Consider the following 18,794-nt stretch of genomic DNA (forward strand, 5'->3'; position numbering starts at 1 on the left):
GAGGAGATGAGAAATGAGAAACAGATTACAGCAATGAGCACAGTGTGTGTGCACGTGCCTGTGCAGAGGTGTGGAGGTGTTGAATACATTACCTAAGAAGTTTGGGCTTCATTCTGGGTGCAATAGTGCATAAGAGATTAGGGGTCATAGCCTCTTTTGAGAAACTGATAAAACACTGATCTTTCTCCCAGGGGAAAAAATAGCATACAGACAACCTTGCAAAAATTCATAGACAAATTCACATTTTTCACAGTGTCTCTGAAGCCCATGTATGGACCACATATTTATAAAAATATGCAGTGCAGAGCATTAAGCAAAAAAGATTGCTAGCAGGAAATGGACACATCTTAAGATTAACACGATTTATTCATAACTGTGTGTGCAAAATTTCATTATTTATATACATTTACTAGAAAGCACTATAATATTTGGTATTATTATTCTACCCACTTAAAGTGAGATCTAAGGAATGATTCTATTCCCGATTACCTGAATTCAAGTTTAAAAAGTTTGATTCTCACCAAACCTTCTCTGCGACACGATTACAATTGCACAAAAATCAAGCATCCTGAAAATTGTAAGTTTTATATGAATATAAAGAACTTAAAATAGTTGTTATGTGAGGATAGTAAGATTACGGGGGATTAAAACATTTTCTTCATGGGGTTATGAATGTATTAATTACGTATATATTTTAAGAATTCTTCGGTGGCTCTGCTCTTCTTGATTAAAAAACGTGGAAGAAAAAACAGAGCACATCTCTTCATGTCTTGCTCATCATTGTCCTCTCATCTATGGAATGTGACTAGAAAAAAAAAATAGAGCATCTTAAAGATCAAAGTGACATTTGAGGTCATCTTATCCAAACGCACAGCCCACAATAGACTCATCTTAGAAACATCCAGCATAGAGATCTCTGCTGATAGGTCACCCAGTTCAAAAGCAAACTCTCCCTCGCTGAATGGAGACTGTGTTGAGCTGAAACTTTTGACCCTCAACTGTTGCATAAATTTGGCTTTATTCTTCCCATTGGAGCCACAGAGAACATGAGTATTTTCTGTATTGTTTTTTAAATAGTAATCTATCAGTTGTTTACAAATAGCTATTAAAATCACCTCTACCTAGGCATCTAAGGGCCTCCTATGCAATATGTATGCCAAAGTTAAATCAGAGGACTAGCCACCCTATTTCTCATTCTTGTCAGGCCCTCAGTTTCCACCATATTGATTTTACTATACTAATTATCAAAATGGGTGTATGGAGGCAGGTATATTCCCTAGGCAAAGGAGGCCATCTTATTTACAGCATGAAATTTCAAGAGAACCTCAGTACATTTGACAAACAGCAGTGTATGCTGATATAAATCAAAAGGACCAGTGGTTCTTTCAGTCCATGAGCAATTTTATTGGCATATTCTGAAATAGTTGGTCTTCTCTCCTTCTACTAGGCAGACTGCAAAAGCTAAAAGTCAGCATTTAAGGGGTCAGATTCAACGTGAGCCATTCATAACATCACAGGTTATGCTGGGGCAGTACATCTACAGGGGCATAGCGAGGACATCATTGTCTCAGCCACCTCCTAGGACACATGGAATACATGTGAGCCACATGGAATACAAGTGACTGATGAAACTGAAAACTGCAGCCAAGGTGGTTCACACTGTTTCCCAGTCACTGTCACCTCTGTCCTTCTCAGAGGGCTCCCCATGCTGACTGAGGTCCAGGAACAGAGACGTGCTTGGGCGATCAGCCCTTTCTCCTCTCACTTCATCGCCAAGTGCATCACTTCAGTGCTTCCAAGCATAGCTCTGGCTGCTTTCTATGTTTTTTTGTTTTCTAGATGCTTCTGGGAGGGATCCAACTTCACATTCAATGCCTCCTGAGACTGCAGGAGCCTCTCAGGGTGAGAATGCAAGTCGGCCTGGAGGCCACGATGGCTAATGACAGGTGGGCCTGGAGGCCACGATGGCTAATGACAGGTGGGCCTGGAGGCCACCATGGCTAATGACAGGCTTGGTTCCTGGAACCCAGGGCTGTGGCAACGGGAGCCAGAGGCATCCAGTGTGAGCCAGAACCTTCTTGCAGGTGGATAGGTGGATCTTTGAGACTTTGAGAGAGACCAGAAAAGGCGAATGTGTCCTCAGGTAAAAGGGTAAGACAGAGTTGAGGGAGAGGGTAAAGTACAAAACCCAAAACAGGGGACATCTGGACATCAAGATGAGAACCAAAGTTAAGAAAGAGGCACAAGGAGTCAGTAATGTTGCTGGGAGGAGGGCTGAGATATCTAAATGTTGTCCTTATTGGGTACAGACCACATGGTCCTGGGACAATGACCTGGACCATGAAAGGGATCCAGGCGGCCAGGACATGTCCTTCGCATGTGGCTATGTGACAAGCACCCCAGCTTTGTAACTTATCAAAACAGATCACATCAACACCCTATGTTGGCAGTGTGTCTTTGGGCAAATCACTTCACTGAGCTTCATATGAAGATGGTCCTAGCTCTGTGACAGTTTTACCAAGGTTGGTGTTAACATACACACAGTGCCTCCTACAGTATCTGGCATGTAGCTGATGACCATATGTTGTCAGCATGTCAACATCATTGGTGTTGTCTTAAGGCTCGCTGTGTCCAAACTCAGCCCATTCTCCAAGCATGCCTTAGCCTAGTTCCTTCCCTGGAGTAGTCAAGATTTTCAGCTGCATGAATCCAGTATTCAGAATTTTCTGGGAAACTCCTAATTACAAATACTCTACCTCATTGTCCCATAAATCAACTTATCTGTGCAGGTTTTCTGATTGCTTGTTCAGAAAACAACTTCTTCCTATTCAAGGAACTTTAAGGACTACCAATTTTTTGACTTTGTTTGCTAGAAGTCTACAGAGCCTCCCTGGATGCTGCCAGTGTAGACAGTGCAATCCCACTGGGGTTATGTGTCTGAATTGATGCAGATGGAGCTTTTATCTAGACTCGAGAGGTAGAAAGAAGAGGTAGGAGTTTGGGTTTAACTGAGAACTGGGAGTACAGAGAGGTGGTTGAGGGGGACTCTTGGTGGTTAGTGGGAAAGCCAGAGAAAGACAGATCTTTGCTAGAAATGCTATGAGTCTGGAAACAAGAAACACAGTTAGGGGCCAACCAATGGAGACTGGCACTGGGTCAGGGGAGACTGGCACTGGGTCATTCTTTTGCCTTAGCCCAGATCCCAACACCTCTCTGGCACCCCTTCCACCTGGCTGGTGGCCTCGGGAGCACTTGGCTCATCTGCACAGACACGGGACTTCTTTCCATGGGTACTTGAGGCCAAGGCAGCAATAAGCCTCCTGCAAGGAGCTCCATGGGTGGCAGGCATAGGCAGTGATGCGGGCCAGGAGACATGACAAATGCTCTTCAGAGCAACCCAAGGGGGTTGCTTCGCAAGGTACAGGCAATGCTGGGGAGTCATGGCTGTGGCCACAGACCATGGAGCTGAAGATGCCAGGAATGATGACCATGATGAGGAGGAGGGGGAGGATCGGTGAAGAAGAGGATAGGATATCTCAGTGTAGCAAAAGGAGTGCTCTTTTCTAGCCCTCAGTCATAGGTTCTGGAAAATTTAAGGAGAAATTGTTCTCACACTAAATTTGAGCCAGTACTCACAGTTTCTCATTGCCAGAAGGAGGCTTAAATTCATTCAGTTAATGATACATAAGCAGGATTTTCTACTCAAGTCCCCAGAGAACTATGCATCTGTCCCTTTACAAAGCAAGGAAACTGAGGCAAGAGGAGCTGAGGCATGTGCTGCAAGCTAAAATCCCCATCCTGCATTCCTCAGTGGACCTCCCTTCCCCAGGGAGGGCTTGAGCCTGCACATTTAATCAATAGCTTGATAGATTTTCTTTCTCTGCTTTCAAAAGATATTATTTCTAGGCTGTGAAAAAGCACGGGAAATTTGCATTTCAATATAGAATGTTTTTTAACAACAATAAGAACCCTGCTCTTTTCAGACTAAGATAGCAGCCTGTTTTCCCCTTTCTGAATCAAAGGGGCCACTGGATACTCATTGAAGACCTAGAGGAAAGCATCCCTCCCTCTCTAGTCCTGGGTAAAACAGTGAGGGTCTGCTCTAGGATACAAGTGGCCCCTATTGACAGCCAGTAGCCCACAGCAAGGAAATTACCAAAAATTTAACTAATTTTGAGTTAAGTGTTTGAAAGACAATTCAGGATAAATTAATAAAGTGATCAAGTAGCCTAGATTTTAAAATAGGATAAACATAAAGCCTAACATCAATTTTCTCTGCATAAAGATTATCTGTTTCCTTCTCTCTTCTCTCAATAGGAGGTATGTGTCTTGCTGCTTAGCCTAACCTCTCCTTCCAGCCTTCTGGACCCTACCTGATATGGTCTGGCTCTGTGTCCCCACCCAAATCTCATCTTGAATTGTAATCTGAATTGTAATCCCCACATGTTAGGGAAGGGACGTCGTGGGAGGTGATTAGATCACGGGGGCAGTCCCCCCATGCTGTTCTCATGATAGTGAGTGAGTTCTCATGAGACCTGATGGTTTTATAAGGAGCCTTTCCCCCGCTTCACTCAGCACTTCTCCTTCTTGCCGCCATGTGAAGAAAGATGTGTTTGCTTTTCCTTCCACCATGATTGTTAAGTTTCCTGAAACCTCCCCAGCCCTGTGGAACTGTGAGTCAATTAAACCTCTTTCTTAATAAACTACCCAGTCTCGGGTATTTCCACATAGCAGCGTGAAAACAGACTAACATACAACCCCTCTCCACTGCTCCTCAAGACCGGGCTTCAACTCTGCTCTTTCTGTTGCTCTTCAGGCTTTTTCCCTCTCTTAGCTCCTTTCCTCTCACTTTGCAAACTATATGCAAATTTTCCCAATCCACTGTTTAATTTAAAACATAAAGAATGAAGATCAACCACCTTTTATTTTGTGTTGGTCTTCTTCCCTCTCCTTCTTTCTGATTCTAGGAAAGCAGTCAGAAAATAGAAAACCCACCCTCAGTCCCCTAACTCCAAGCACTCTCTACCACCCTCCTCTTCCCTCTCTAGATTTCATTATTCCACTTCTGAAAGTGCTACACTTTCCTCCCTGCTATGTTGAGTATTCATTACAGCTTAATCATCTCAAAGCCTTGGGTTAAACTGACTCTAACACAGAAAGAAAAGGTTAATAATCACAGACATGATAATTGCTCTTATATCTATCCACATGTGCAATAAGTCATGCTGCAGCAACCAAAACTGACAGAGAGAGGTGTTCTGCTGAGGCTGCCAGAACACACCTAAAGGGAAGCCCAGTGTCAAGGAAACCTATTAGAATGATTGTATTAGTGGTAAATGGAATGCAAATGACAAGGTCTTAAAAAAAGATGAAGTCAAGCGCTCTCTGATGAACACAAGCCACTTTTGAAAGAAGGATGAAAGATCTTGAAGTGAAAAATAATAATAACAATAATGCATCTTTAGGAATCAGTCAATGTAAGGGCAAGGTATGGGGTATCTCACTAACCATCAGGTTGGTCAAGATTCAAAAAGGAAAGAAAAACATTGTTAGAGTCTAGAATTTGATGGGTGCCAAGATACAATCTAAGGCTATCAACACAGGCAAGAATCTGATGAATTTCACCAATGTAACCAAGCGTGGAATAATATATTTCCCAAACCACCTAATCATTTGCCCAAAAATATAAGAAGTATCATTGTCATTATCAGTTTACCTTAAACATTATATTGATTAATAGAATAAACGGGGATTCCTCGGCCAACAAGATGTCCTGTATTTCTGAGCAATATTTTCATGTATTGCAAATCTAATTAACTTCAAATCCATTGTCTGGTCTCTTGTGTTCAAAATTAATGAGATTTTTATGCAGTCTATCGGAGAAACAGCTTCATGTCCTCCTATCATTTCCTCAGATGCTCAGAGCCACAAGGACTTCCAACTAGAAAATTAAATAGACAACAATCTTTACGTTTGATCAAATGTTACATCCACACATCTAAATTTCAAAGCTAAGGGCAAAGTATGGAGTCGACATATGAGCCCTTTTTTAGTTAAGACATTTTGAATATGCCTGCCTTTATCTGCACCATACCTCCTTTAGGGGGCCGAGCCCCACCTGCCATTCTTAGACTGTGACTGGCTCCTCGCTGGGCTCTCAGGTCCTCTGCCCACCCTGTAAATGGCCACTCTTTAGCCAGAGCACTCAGTGCTCAATGGGAAATTGTATTTATTCCTCTGTGTCTCTTGTTAAAGTATTCCTTTGGGAGCAAAGAACAACCTCCTCAGCATGGTTCACAAAGGTTTCCAGAATCTGACCCTGCCGTGCGTCTCTCATCTACCTCTCCAGCAGGGCTGCACCCTTGGCCCAGGTGGGAACCACCCAGTGATTTGAAACTCCCTACATTGTCCAGCCTGCCTTCCTGCTTCTGCCTTCACCCTGATCTCCTTCAGAGGCAGTTTACCCCTCTTCTGTGAAGTCTTCCCATTCCTCCCTAGACAGTCACAGCTCCATTGCCTGTTTTTCAAAGTAGCACAAAATTCCACTTTTAGATTGATTTCTGAGGGTTTATTTGCCTTTCTGCCTTCTCCAGTTGAGTGTAAGTTCCTGGGGTCACAGGCTCTGTTTTATTTATTTTGCTCACTTATTTCTAGGTGCTGTCACAATGAGTGTTTGGAAAATATCTGTTAAGGAAAGGAAATGGATGAAATGAAATGAATAAATGAATGAGTCTCTGTATCCCGAGACTGGAGCCGGCTCACTCACTGGACAAAGCCAGTGAGGCTGCCAGCGTCATGTTCAGGCCCCAGCAAGTTGTTTGGTCCCTGCTGTCTTGTGTTTGCATTTAAAAGGGCTTGCCCCAAGCCTCCCAGTGGGGACAGAGGATGGGAGGGACGCAGATCACATCTCTTTTCCATAGATTACAGAGTACTCACTCCCTAAGCCTCGCGTTCCACTGCTAGTATCTTTGGCCTAACAGGCTCTCCCAGATTTCATGAATGCCTCCTTACAAAGAAGGGGCAAGAGGCATGCAGAGAGGAGCTGGTGCTGGGCTGGCTCAGCCACCCTGGGTCACATTTCCTGTCCCAGACCCAGAGGGACACCCTTTGCCTCTCCCTCCTCCCCAGATAGCCAGGCTGTGATGGACAAGGACCTCCCTCTCTTGCCACTGGCGGATTCCCAGTTCCCTTCAAGGGTCTGGAGGCATAGGATGTGCAGGGACTGGATGCACCAGGAAATTCAATGAGGAGAAATCAGTCCAATGGGGCCGTCTTCCAAAGGCAAATGACCTGAAAGCTCAGTGGCTAGTAGGTAACCAGCTCCTCTTCCAGTAAGCCCCGGAGTAAGAAATGTGTCTTCTGGACTCAGAATCCCAATATCTCTTTAAATAATTACTTGTCCCTGTGTAGGCAAGTTTGGAAAGAAGCAAAAATTTTATAATGTAGACTGTTTTGAACTTCCTGATCTCAAATCCGTAATTCCGAATATTCTCAGAGCAGGTATCTAATCATATTAAACAGATCATGTGTTTCCTGAGGTCGGATCCGTATGCACTACCTGGGACCTCCCTGTAACACTGTTCACAGGTATGACCGGGAGGAAAAGTGTATTTTTGCCTACTTTGGGCCAGACACATCCCCTAACTCATTTCATTTGAGCTTTTCTGGAATACAGGTGTTATTCTCCCAACTTTACGGATGAGAAAATGGGGCCTCAGGGAAATAAAACGACTCACCCAGAGTAGCCAGCTGGGGTCCCTGGAACCTCACTCTGCAGGTCCCAAAGCCTCTGTTTTGTCCACAGGACTTCAATGTTCCTGCCTGGTGAGGGTCGCTCAGACTATTCTGAATGGGCTTAGGGGTCTTGGTATCAAGAAGTCCCCGTGGGTTAACAATCTTACTTGGGAATAAGGGACCCAAATTTTCTGAACCCCAAAGCACAGCATAGTCTGCCTTCTGTAAGGTAAAATACAAGAAGTGAGGACTGACCCCCTTTACCTCCACACCCCCAGCCCTCACCCCCATCCCAACCTTGTTACCAAGATGAGGGCGCCTTTTGCCCTTTTCAGTGTGAAACTTCTATCTGGTAAGGGGTGGTCAAAGTGAGTCACAATATTTGATTAGCTGTGAAAAGTGCTCTTAATGTCAATGATGGAACTCTTCTATCAGGTTAGGGTGAATAGGAAGGGGAGGACAGAGAAAAGATCAGGCCTAGCAGGATGCGGGGGAGCAGAGACTCAACTTCAGAGCCATGGTCTCCAGTTCTCACTTCCCCACTTATTATACGCAACAACTGACCTCCACTGCTGAGCACTCCTGTGTCCAGTTTCCACATCCATAAAACAAAAATAAAGCCCTCTTAGCATTATCACTATGGGGTTAAATGAGAAAGTGTACATGAACATAGGAAGCACATAAATGGAGTTCTTACCTTGGCCCAAAAGAAATGCTCCCATCCAGGATTTGTCCTGAATGTGATAACTGGCCTCCCCATGAGATCCACAGCAGAAGGGCCAAACTTGCTCTGCACATGCTCGGTCCAGGAACCCCACCCTGGGCCATTTCAGTAGTCAAAGAGGCCACAGTGAAGACAGATATAGAAATTTAATTCTTGTCAAAGTTTTTCTAGTGATGTCATCACATATGACAACCAAAAAACTGTCATCTAGAAAGGAGCCAGAACATATTATGGTTAAAAACAGAGAACTGGGAGGTTAGCGTAAGGAGCTGTAGTGATCTATGTGTACAATGGACCATGACATAAAAGCTTAATGAGCAGCTTCAAAGTGCTACTTAGAACATCTCTGTTACTCAGGAAGTCTTCTGTCATGCTCTGTGACACTCATTTGTAAACTGTAGGGATGCTATTTTTTTATTTAGTTAGACCATTAGACCAAAAATATGTTTTGGCAAAAGAGAAAGGGGAGGAGGAGGGAGGAGAGAGGGAGGGAGAAGTGAGGAGCGAGGAGGAAGGGAAGAGGTGCAAGGAGAAAGAGTGAGGAAGGGAGAGAAATAAGAATAAGAGGGAGGAGGAAGAGAGAAAGGAGGAAGAGGAGAAAACTTGCAGCGGAAGCTGGAAAAAATCAGATCCAGATGGGGCTGCTGTGCTTGGCTGGGGAGAAGGGCCAGAGACCTGACTTTCTGCCTGACTGAAGGCTCTTCTTTGCTAAACACCTCTTGCATTCCCTCCTTAGGAGCCCCAGGAGAGATTAGATAGTAGTGCACCCAGAAAAGCCCGACCAACAGAATACCTGGGAATGACCTCGCGTGGCTCTGGAAGGCGTCCAGGACATAGCAGTATTTCCATGTCCACCTCTCCCCTCTCCAGCCACACCAGGCACCACCAGCACCCACTCGCACCATGAGCTCCCATGACTCCACCCACTGGCATCCCCTAAGTCCATTTTCCAGGCTGTCTTCCTAAATCTATCTTCTTGTCTAAAACTCAAGAGCTACTCATTTTCTGGGTGTGTCCTCCATCTTTCGTGAAAGTTGTCTCCTCTTCCCTCTTAGCATGCATTAGTTATTCCTGATTCCACGGGAGCAATATCGCCATGGCACTGTCAGTGCCTTGTAGGTCTGTCTCCCAGCTAGGTTATGACCTCCTGAAGGAAAGGACGATCTCTTAGCTTCTTTTATCCCCATAACAGGCTTAGCACATAAGAAATGATCAATAAATTTTAAGTGAAGAGTAAAGAAATTACCCTGGAGAATGAAAATTCAGTGGGTGTTCTACTAGCACATATAATAAAATAGCTATTTCATTCAATGAGAGTAACACAGCAAGAATTTGAAGGAACATTACGGAAAGAGCACAATTCTTGGAAGCAGTCAAGCTTTGGTTCAAATTTTTAAAGTTGGGTGACTTTGTGCCTCACCTTCCTCATCTGTGAAATGGGGCTGAGGATGTACTCAACTTGCAGGTGCGTTCTGGTGGTCAGGTGACTTTGTGAGTGAGAAAGGACCTGGCTCAGGGCAGCCCGCAGTATGTCAGTTACCTGGGATGGCTGTAAGAAAGTCCCACAAACTGGATGGCTTAAGCAACAGAAATCTTTTCCTTTCATGGTTCCGGAGGCCAGAAGCCTGAAATCAGCCGGGCCATGCTCCTTCTCAAACCCATGGAAGAGAATCATTCCTTGCCTTGTCCTAGCCTCTGATGTTTGCTGGAAATCCTTGGCATGAGATATCTGAGGTATGGAGAGGTCACGTCACTTGCCAACGGCAGCACAGCTGGGAGTGGCCACACACCGGCTTGGAACCCGGGCTGTCTGGCCTCAGAATCTGGGTTCTTCACATCACATTTGTATTGTCATTCGACTGGCAGTGCGCTCACAGCTGCCTCTCCCTGTCTGACAGTGAACTCACAGCTGCCTCCCCCTGATTTCCTGCCTTTGCTGTCCAATGGCCCCTCTTCTCCTTATATGCTTCTGTCTTCTCTTCTTGTAAGGACACAGTCCTACTGGATTAGGGCCCACACTAATTACTTCATGCTAACTAATTACATCTACAAAGTCCCTATTTCCAAATAAGGCCACATGCACAGGTCCTAGGGGCTAGGGCTTCTACATCTGTTTGAGGGACACAATCAGCTGGGACACTCCGTGAATGACGATAGAAATGTGACATGAAGAACAGAAACTCTGAGGCCACACAGCCCGGGTTCCAAGCCAGCGCAGCCTCTCCCGGCTGTGCTGCCCTTTGGCGAGTGACTTGACCTCTCCACACCTCGGGGGCCTTATCTGTGACGTGGGAATCAGAATGCTACTAGCTCGTAGAGGTGCTGGAAGAATCTGTGAGTATATAGAGGTAAAGGGCTTACAAAATGCCTGACTTATGGAAAGTGCTACACAAATGTTAGCTATCGTCATATTCCCAGTTGAAATACACTCTCCCTGTATTCATAGGTAGCCCTGTGTGGGGAAGATCAGATACACATGTGCATCGGAGAGGGTCTGTGTGTGCAGGGGGCCGTGAAGACTGGTTATGGGCACTCATGAGTGAGAAAGATGCAGAGAAAGATTATGACAACAGAGTTTATAGAAAATGATTTAAAACATGAGGCAAACACCAATGCCTCTTCTGGAGACCCCCAAAAAGGTCCGCTTTGTTCCTCCAGCAAAGGCACCCCACATGTTGTAGTCACCTGCACACAGGTGAGTGCCATGTCTCTCAAGGGACAACTGGTTCCAATGGCTTCACACTCTATTCCAGAGCCGTGGCAGCAGGTGGCCTTGTCCTGGGGCCCTGGCCATCTGCTGCTGTACAGGGCATCTCATAAGCAGCACAGGGGCAGAGCAGCACAGTGAGCATGGTAACACGGCTGTGTGAGAGGCAGGCCATCTGGGAAGCCCTGCTAGGCAGAGACCCAGAAAAGCGAGGTCAGCAGCAAGTTGCTTTCCATGTATTTCTTTCCATTCAGAGCTAATATTCAGTTTTCACGTTACAAATAACTATCCCTAGCAATGTTTTACTTCAAAATCTGAATGGAGCGTTTAGGGAGAAGAACAGTGGTCAATGCACCTTGGACCAAGGCTCCTGCTCCCCACCACATCTGGAGATGGTTTGTCACTGCTTATCCAACCCGTCTCCCCATGACCACCATTCTCAGGGGGCTCAGCCTCTGTGTGAGAGCAGGGGCTGCACGGCCACCTCTCCCATGTCTTTGCCCTGGCTGGTGTCACTCTGCAAAGGCTGCAGGGGACAACGGGGGCCCCAGAGGGAGAGCCTGCAGAGAGGGACTTGGCCAAGCTGGCTAGCATAGACCGCACACTGGACAGAAGTTCGCAGACTAGGAAATCAGTGCCAACTGCCCAAAGGCTGTGCTGTTGGGGACCAGCTGGGATGGGGCAGTCAGCAAGACTGGGGATGCATGGGCTCCCCTGAGCCTTCTAGGCATCTCCTGGGAAAAAGCCGACCTCAATGCCTGGGCTACCCCAGGGCAAGGTGGGCCCTCCTTCTGTATTTGCCGCTTGATCCATGGGACCATTGTGTGCTCACTTCTTCCTTTAATCGACCCCTAGCACTGTTGAGAAACAGGATCCCTGCCAAGTACTGGGAACACAAGTGCCATAGGAAGCTTAGGATCCAAGAGAGAGCCACAAGATTCCAGAATACAGGGCCTCGGAGAGAGGCGAGCAGAGCCTACACAGAGGAGAGACCCATACTCTGCCTGAAAATGACAAGGAGGGTCCCTGAAGAAAAAGATCCCCGAGCCAGGCCCTAACAACGCAGAGAAACCTGCCAGGTCAGTGCAAGCCCAGGCACTGGCTGGAAACAGACAGAGGAGGACCGGAGGCGTCCTCAGAGGTGTGAATGATGAGGGCCTATGTGGCCAGAAAGCCCACATCAATTAAAGCAGAAGTCATCAAGAAAGATCATGCTCACGGACTTACACTCAAGCCCTATAAGCGGTGTATGCATGCGAGTGTGTGTGTGTGTATCTGTTTACACATTACATGCAGTGATGTGTTGGTGAACGTTTAACAGCTGGCTGGGGATGGAAGAACCCTCCTTTGTCACATTTGTTCACTGCCGTGAGGTAAATGCTCCAGGTGCCAGGTCAGGAGCCAGGAAGTGCTCAGTGGCCTTGCACCAGCACCAGCCAGCCCTAACACGCCTTGCGAGGTGGATATATGTATGCAGCATTTGAATTCTTTTTTAAAGGTATATTCCTATGTAGGACCTATCAATTTTCAGACCTATCAATTTTCTTCAAGTGTGAGTCTATTTTTTCTGCCTTGTATCGTTTTCCACTCCCTGCTTCTCTTTCCTAAGTGGGATGAGAATTCCAAGATGCTTGTGAAGCAATCATAATGCCGGATGCTTTTGATTTTTGCCATTTCCCCTCCTGTACAGTTATCGTTCCCATATCAAATTCAACATTTATTTTAGCTACTTCCTTTTATTCAGTTCAAAGCATTCAAATTAGCTTTTATAAAAAGACCTCAGGACTTTGGGTTAAAGGGCAGATTGAACATCCTTACCCTCCTAAAATCCCATTAAAATGACAACAAAGAGATAAAACTAAAAGGCATAAACTTTAAAGGACAAAGGGAACCGGAGAGAAGACAACATCAGAAAGAGAGAAAAGTTTAGAGGCTGAGAAACATCAACAAGCAGCACCTGACTCAGCAAAGCAGGAAACCTGAGACCCCAGCTCAGAGCCAGCAGGCCCTCACTCACCCCCTGAGGAGGCTCATGGACTTGAAGCCCCATTGGGCAGTTACAGCGAGAGGCAGTTGGGCTGGGAATTTATAGAAGCGGCAACGCGGCTCCCAGTGCCTTCCTCCAACATCAGCTACAGGGGAGCTGCCCTGCCCCACCCTTGTGAAAACACGGGGGTCACTAGAGATGCTGAACCAAAGGATCCTGGAGCCAGGACAGCAGCCCCACCGAGCAGAAGGCATCACACACAAAATGGGAGGAGCCCATGACAGTCTGCCCACAGAGCAAGGGGCCCCGCCTTCCGTGCCCTGACCAGAGATCAGGCAACAGATGGAGGACGCGTCAGTGGACAAAACAGCTAGGTTCCTGCCCAGTCCCCAGCAGCAGCACAAAACAACCCCACTGCATCCACACAGGAGCACACACAGCCATCCTGAGAGCTGCTGTCTGCTTGCTTTACCCAACACTTACATGTGATTAGATGTGTACGGGAGGCAGAAAGGGAGGGAGGGAGGAAGGAAGTGGAGGAGAGAAGGAGGGAGGAAAAGAGAGAAGGAGAAAGGGAGGGAGGGAGAGAAGAAGAGAGGGAGGGAGAGGGAGAGAAGGAGGGAGGGAGGAAGGGAAGAAGGGAGGAAGGGAGGAGAGAGGGAGGGAAAGAGGGAGAGGAAAAAGGGAGGGAGCGGGGAGGAAGAAGGAAGAAAGGGAGGGAGAGAGGGAGGGAGGAAGAAAGGGAGGGAGGAAGGAAGGAAAGAAGGAAGGAAGGAAGGAAGGAAGGAAGGAAGGGTTAGTATCCTATGCCTATCTTAACAAATGACTACTAACTTGGTCACTTAAAGCAACAGAAATATATTCTCTTGCTGTTTTGTAGCCCAGAATCCTAAATCAGGGTGTCAGTCTGGAGGCCAGAATCCTACTCCCCCGTAAGGTTCTAAGGGAGAATCTGTTTCTTGATTCTTCCAGCTGTGGTGGTTCTGGATGTTCCATGGCTTCCAGTCCTTGCCTCTGTCTCCACGTGACCTCCTCCTTGCTCTCCATGCATCCTCTGAGGGCATTGCCATTGGATTTAGCACCCACCCTAATAATCCAGGATGATCTTCTGTTGAGATCCCTAGCTTAATGTCTGCAAATTCCCCTTTTCCAAATACGGTAACAGGTTCTGGGGGTTAGGACTTGAATTTATCTTTATGAAAGCCACCATTCAACCCACACAGAAGAAACAAGGAAAGACAAAAAGAAGAAAAAAAGTGAAAAAAAAGGAACCTTAAAAAATGAGAGAATGAGGACAAGAAAAATATCTTCTTTGAAAGGACAGAAAGGTGGTCACGAAATCCCCTGTTTGAGAAGAGATGGCAAGGCAGACGCTGCATCCACAGAGGAAGAGCAGGGTGGGGAGCAGAGCAGGTGCACACCACGTTCAAGCAGCACCCCCCACAGTGGCAGGAACCGGCCACAACCCAAGCTTTCGTCCTTGAACAAAACATGCAACATGCATGCAATGGCATAGTATTCAGCCTCAAAAAGAGGAAATTCTCACACGTGTTACAGTATGAATGAACCTGGACCATATTATGCTAAGTGAAGCAGGCCGCTCACAAAAAGACAAATGCTGTGTGATTCCACTGATACGATGTAAATTCTCAGAGACAGAAAGTATAATGGCGGTCACCTCGGACTGGGGATAGAGAGAGGGTAGGGTGTTGGTGCTTAATGGGTACAGAGTTTCAGTTTTGCAAGATGAAAAGAGGTCCAGGGGTTGGTTGCACAGCACTGTGAAATGTACTTAACACGACTGAATTTAACAACTACGAAGTCTTAAGATGGTAATTTTTTCATGTGTGTTTTCCCACAATTAAAGTTCATTTAAAAATGACAGGGGGCATTCTGAGAGCAACTTAATCTTTGGATACTAAGTGTATGATAGCTGAAACTGAAAATTTCGCGGAAACATTTTCTCAGTCTTAAATGAGTTTGTTTTCATAGAAAATGGTGACATCTTGAACAGAGCCCCAGTACCTGTCTCCAGAGCCAGCCTGACAGCACCACGTGTCAGCACTACATGACACACACGTCACTGGGGCTGCGTCACACACTGCCCAAAGAAAGAGTATTTGGAAAATTAGAAGTATAGAATTTCCAACACAGAAAATACAAACTGGCTAGGGTGAGATAAATATCTCACTGTGGTTTTGATTTGCATTTCTCTGATGATCTGTGATTATTAAAAAGTCAAAAACTAACAGCCTGCTGGTGAGGTTGTAGGGAAAAAGGAACACTTATACACTGCTGGTGGGAGTGTAAATTAGTTCAACCATTGTGAGAGACAGTGTGGCGATTCCTCAAAGACCTAAAAACAGAAATACCATTAGGCCCAGCAATCCCATTACTGGATATATACCCAAAGGAATATAAATCATGTGTCATAAAGACACATGCATCTGTATGTTCACTGCAGCACTAGTCACACTAGCAAAGACATAGAATCAACCTAAATGCCCAGCAGTGGTAGACTGGATAAAGAAAATGTGGTACATACACACAATGGAATACTACGCAGCCATAAAAAAAGAACAAGATCACGTCCTCTGCAGGAACATGGATGCAGCTGGAGACCATGATCGTTAGCAAACTAACACAAGAACATAAGACCAAACACTGCATGTTTTCACTTGTAAGTGGGAGCTAAATGATGAGAACACATGGACACATAGAGGGGAACAACACATACTGGAACCTGTCAGAGGGTGGAGGGTGGATGGTGGGAGGAGGGAGAGGATCAGCAAAAATAACCAATGGGTATTGGGCTTAATTCCTGAGTGATGAAATAATCTATACAACAAACCCCCATTACACAAGTTTACCTGTATAACAAACCTGCACATGTACCCCTGAACTTAAAATAAAAGTTAAAAAAAAATACAAACTGGCATGTAGGGAATTACAATAGGCTGAGCAATAAACTCAAGTCATCAGAAAGATCCTGAGAAAGGTCCCAACTGTAGACCACTTCAACTTCAAATATCTCTTCCCATTTTCTCCATCATAAGCTTGGACTCGTCAAACCATGTCTCTTAATTTTCATGTAGAAACTATGGACTCAGGATGCAGATAGAAGAGAATCAAAGAACTTACTTTGGAAACGAATGAACTTCAGAATCATTACATCGAAAAGGTGGACCTCTCAGGAGAGGAAATGACCCACAGGAAGTGACATTTCTAAAGAAATGAGTGGTAGAGCCCAAGCTCTCACTCTGGTGCCCACACATACTTCTGAATTCTGACGTGGAAAAGTTTCCTTTAAACGCTGGATAGTTCATGGAAAAGGCAGTGAGGAAAGATAAGACTTTGAAGGTAGACTTCAATTTCTGCCCTTTGGGACTTAAATAGTTATTTTAACTTTTTCTCCAAAATTGTATTCTTTGACCTTTTCATGAGTCTACGGAAATTACATGCTGACACACTCCGTGTGCGCATGGTGGGTTCTGTCTGCCGAGGGGAAGTAGAATACAATATTAAATAATAACAATGGCAACACACATGTATAAAGCCATTAGAGGGTATGTTAACCTGGGCAAAATAATTGCTTTCATCTAATGAACAAATATTTCAGATGTGTTAGCTAAGACAAGTAGTTTTCTAACAATTCTTAGAACAAATTTAGAAGGTAGACACTAGTATTAGCATTAGGGATCCAAAGCTAATCTACATCACCTTTGCACAAATATGGAAAATGACAATTAGACAGGTGAAGTAATTTGCCTGTAAATTACTTCAGCTTGTAACTTCCCACCAGCTTGTAAAGGCAGAGATGAGGTTCCTTGCAGATCTTTCTGAATTCATTTTCTTCTCACTCTCTCACTTCCAAGTGTGCTTCTCCTCCAAAGTCTGGCTCTTTCAAGCTTGAGGGTTTCAGCCTGGCCCCAAGGCAGTGAGAATTAATCCCAACACAAATACTATGTGTGCCATTTTACCACATTGGTGTGCAAACCTTCAGACCCTTGGAGCACTTAAATCACAGCTCAGGAGAATAGAGATGAGACAGACAGAGACAGAGACAGAGAGAGAGAGAAAGATGATTTCATTGACATTCTGGTTTGTTTAACAAAAAGAAAGCAAAGATCCCCTCCATCTAAAAGTGTCATGTGTCATCTCAATTTCTCAGTATGTTTGCTCCCCTCACTCACCCTGCCTGGATATGTCCAACCCAGGACAGCAACCCATGGTCCACCAGCTGGGGCAGGCAGGTGCTGCATGTGTCCTCAGCCTCTGCCAGGCCTGGAAACTCTGCACAGGGACACAGGTGCCCCCATCACCCTCTGCTACATGAGTTCCTTTCACAGGGGATGGGCTGGCTGCCCCATTAGGGTGTGTTGACCTGCTCCTGAGGGTGCCAAGACTAACCAAGGCTGCTCCCACTGGCTTGTCTTGGCTTTGATACCTCTCCCGCACCTCTGTTTTATCTCCTGGCTGGCAGGGAGGGTCTGGAAACCAGGAGGCAGGGCACAAGCTGGGTCTGTCCTGCTCACTGTTCATCAGGGCAGGAGCACAGTGAGGCTTGGTGCTGTGGCTGGAGCACAAGCATTTGTTCAGGGAGATCTCAGATGTCAGAGCTGGAGGCACCAGGGAGAGCCCCAATTTTGGTGTTTAAGATATTGTTATCCATGCAGCCCTAAGATATAAAAGAAGTAAAGCAGAGAGCTGTGCAGGTGGGTCGGAGCAGAGGACTCGCTCTCTGCCAGCGTGGGGTCCTTCTTCTTTACAGTGACCCCAAGTGACCTCTGCAGAGCAGAGTTTGAAACCATAGATTTAATGGAGCCTCTTCATTTTTCTTATGAGGAAATAGACCCACGAAGAGGAAAGGCAAATGCAGGAGACCACACTGACTTTTAGCACTGGCTTGCCTCTCCAGCAGTCTCTGGATTCCCAACTCCAGGCTTTTTCTGCTGTCCTCTCTCACCCAGAAGAGATTTAGCAGGAAGCAGCCTGCTCACCAGGTCAACTACTGCCCACTCGGGCAGATCCTTCAGGTCCCCTTTTTCTTCTCAATCCCACTTGCCTCTTGCTGAGCTGTGTTTTAGTGTGTGTCAATTTATAATTAGATGGAGAACACGGTCCATTTGCTAAGGTACATTTCGGTCAGTGACAAATTTCAGAATGGCAGTGCATTAGTTACAACCAATTAGGAGGAAATGATCACTGTGAAGTGTCCATATCTACTGCACCGGGACAGAAGCCAACATGTAACATTTATGAGTCTTACCTCATCAGGCTCAGTAGATGGTGAAGAGGTTTAAATCCAATTCAGAAAAATATTTAATGTAAAGACTGAATCTTTAGGACTATAAATTCCAGTTAGTGGAACGAAAAGAGGTTACTCCATGTATCCATGCATCATCCAACCCCTGCTTCCACCCTTACTGGCAGGAACAGAGACTGGAAAACCTCAGCATTCCGAAGACACACAACTTATGTTCAGGTCTTGTTTCTGTGAGACCAGTTTTAACATGTGTGACCTCAGGATCTTCCTTTCTCTTATATATTAAATAGAGATAAAAATACACACCTTGCAGGGTTGTGGGATTTTAAATGGGTAAAATTTCCAGAGAGTTTGCTCAGCACATGGTAAGTTTTCA

The 18,794-nt window shown here is 45.6% G+C and overlaps 1 annotated feature.

Moving 5' to 3' along the window:
- Nucleotides 6,605–7,167: an enhancer, noted in NCBI's record as "OCT4-NANOG hESC enhancer chr2:6946605-6947167 (GRCh37/hg19 assembly coordinates)". NCBI's record gives its function as "activates a minimal SCP1, AML or CMV promoter by ChIP-STARR-seq in naive H9 embryonic stem cells {active_cell/tissue: H9 hESC(naive)}" and the evidence as "EXISTENCE:reporter gene assay evidence [ECO:0000049][PMID:30033119]".

This window comes from Homo sapiens, chromosome 2, assembly GCF_000001405.40.
Source record: "Homo sapiens chromosome 2, GRCh38.p14 Primary Assembly".
NCBI lineage: Eukaryota > Metazoa > Chordata > Mammalia > Primates > Hominidae > Homo > Homo sapiens.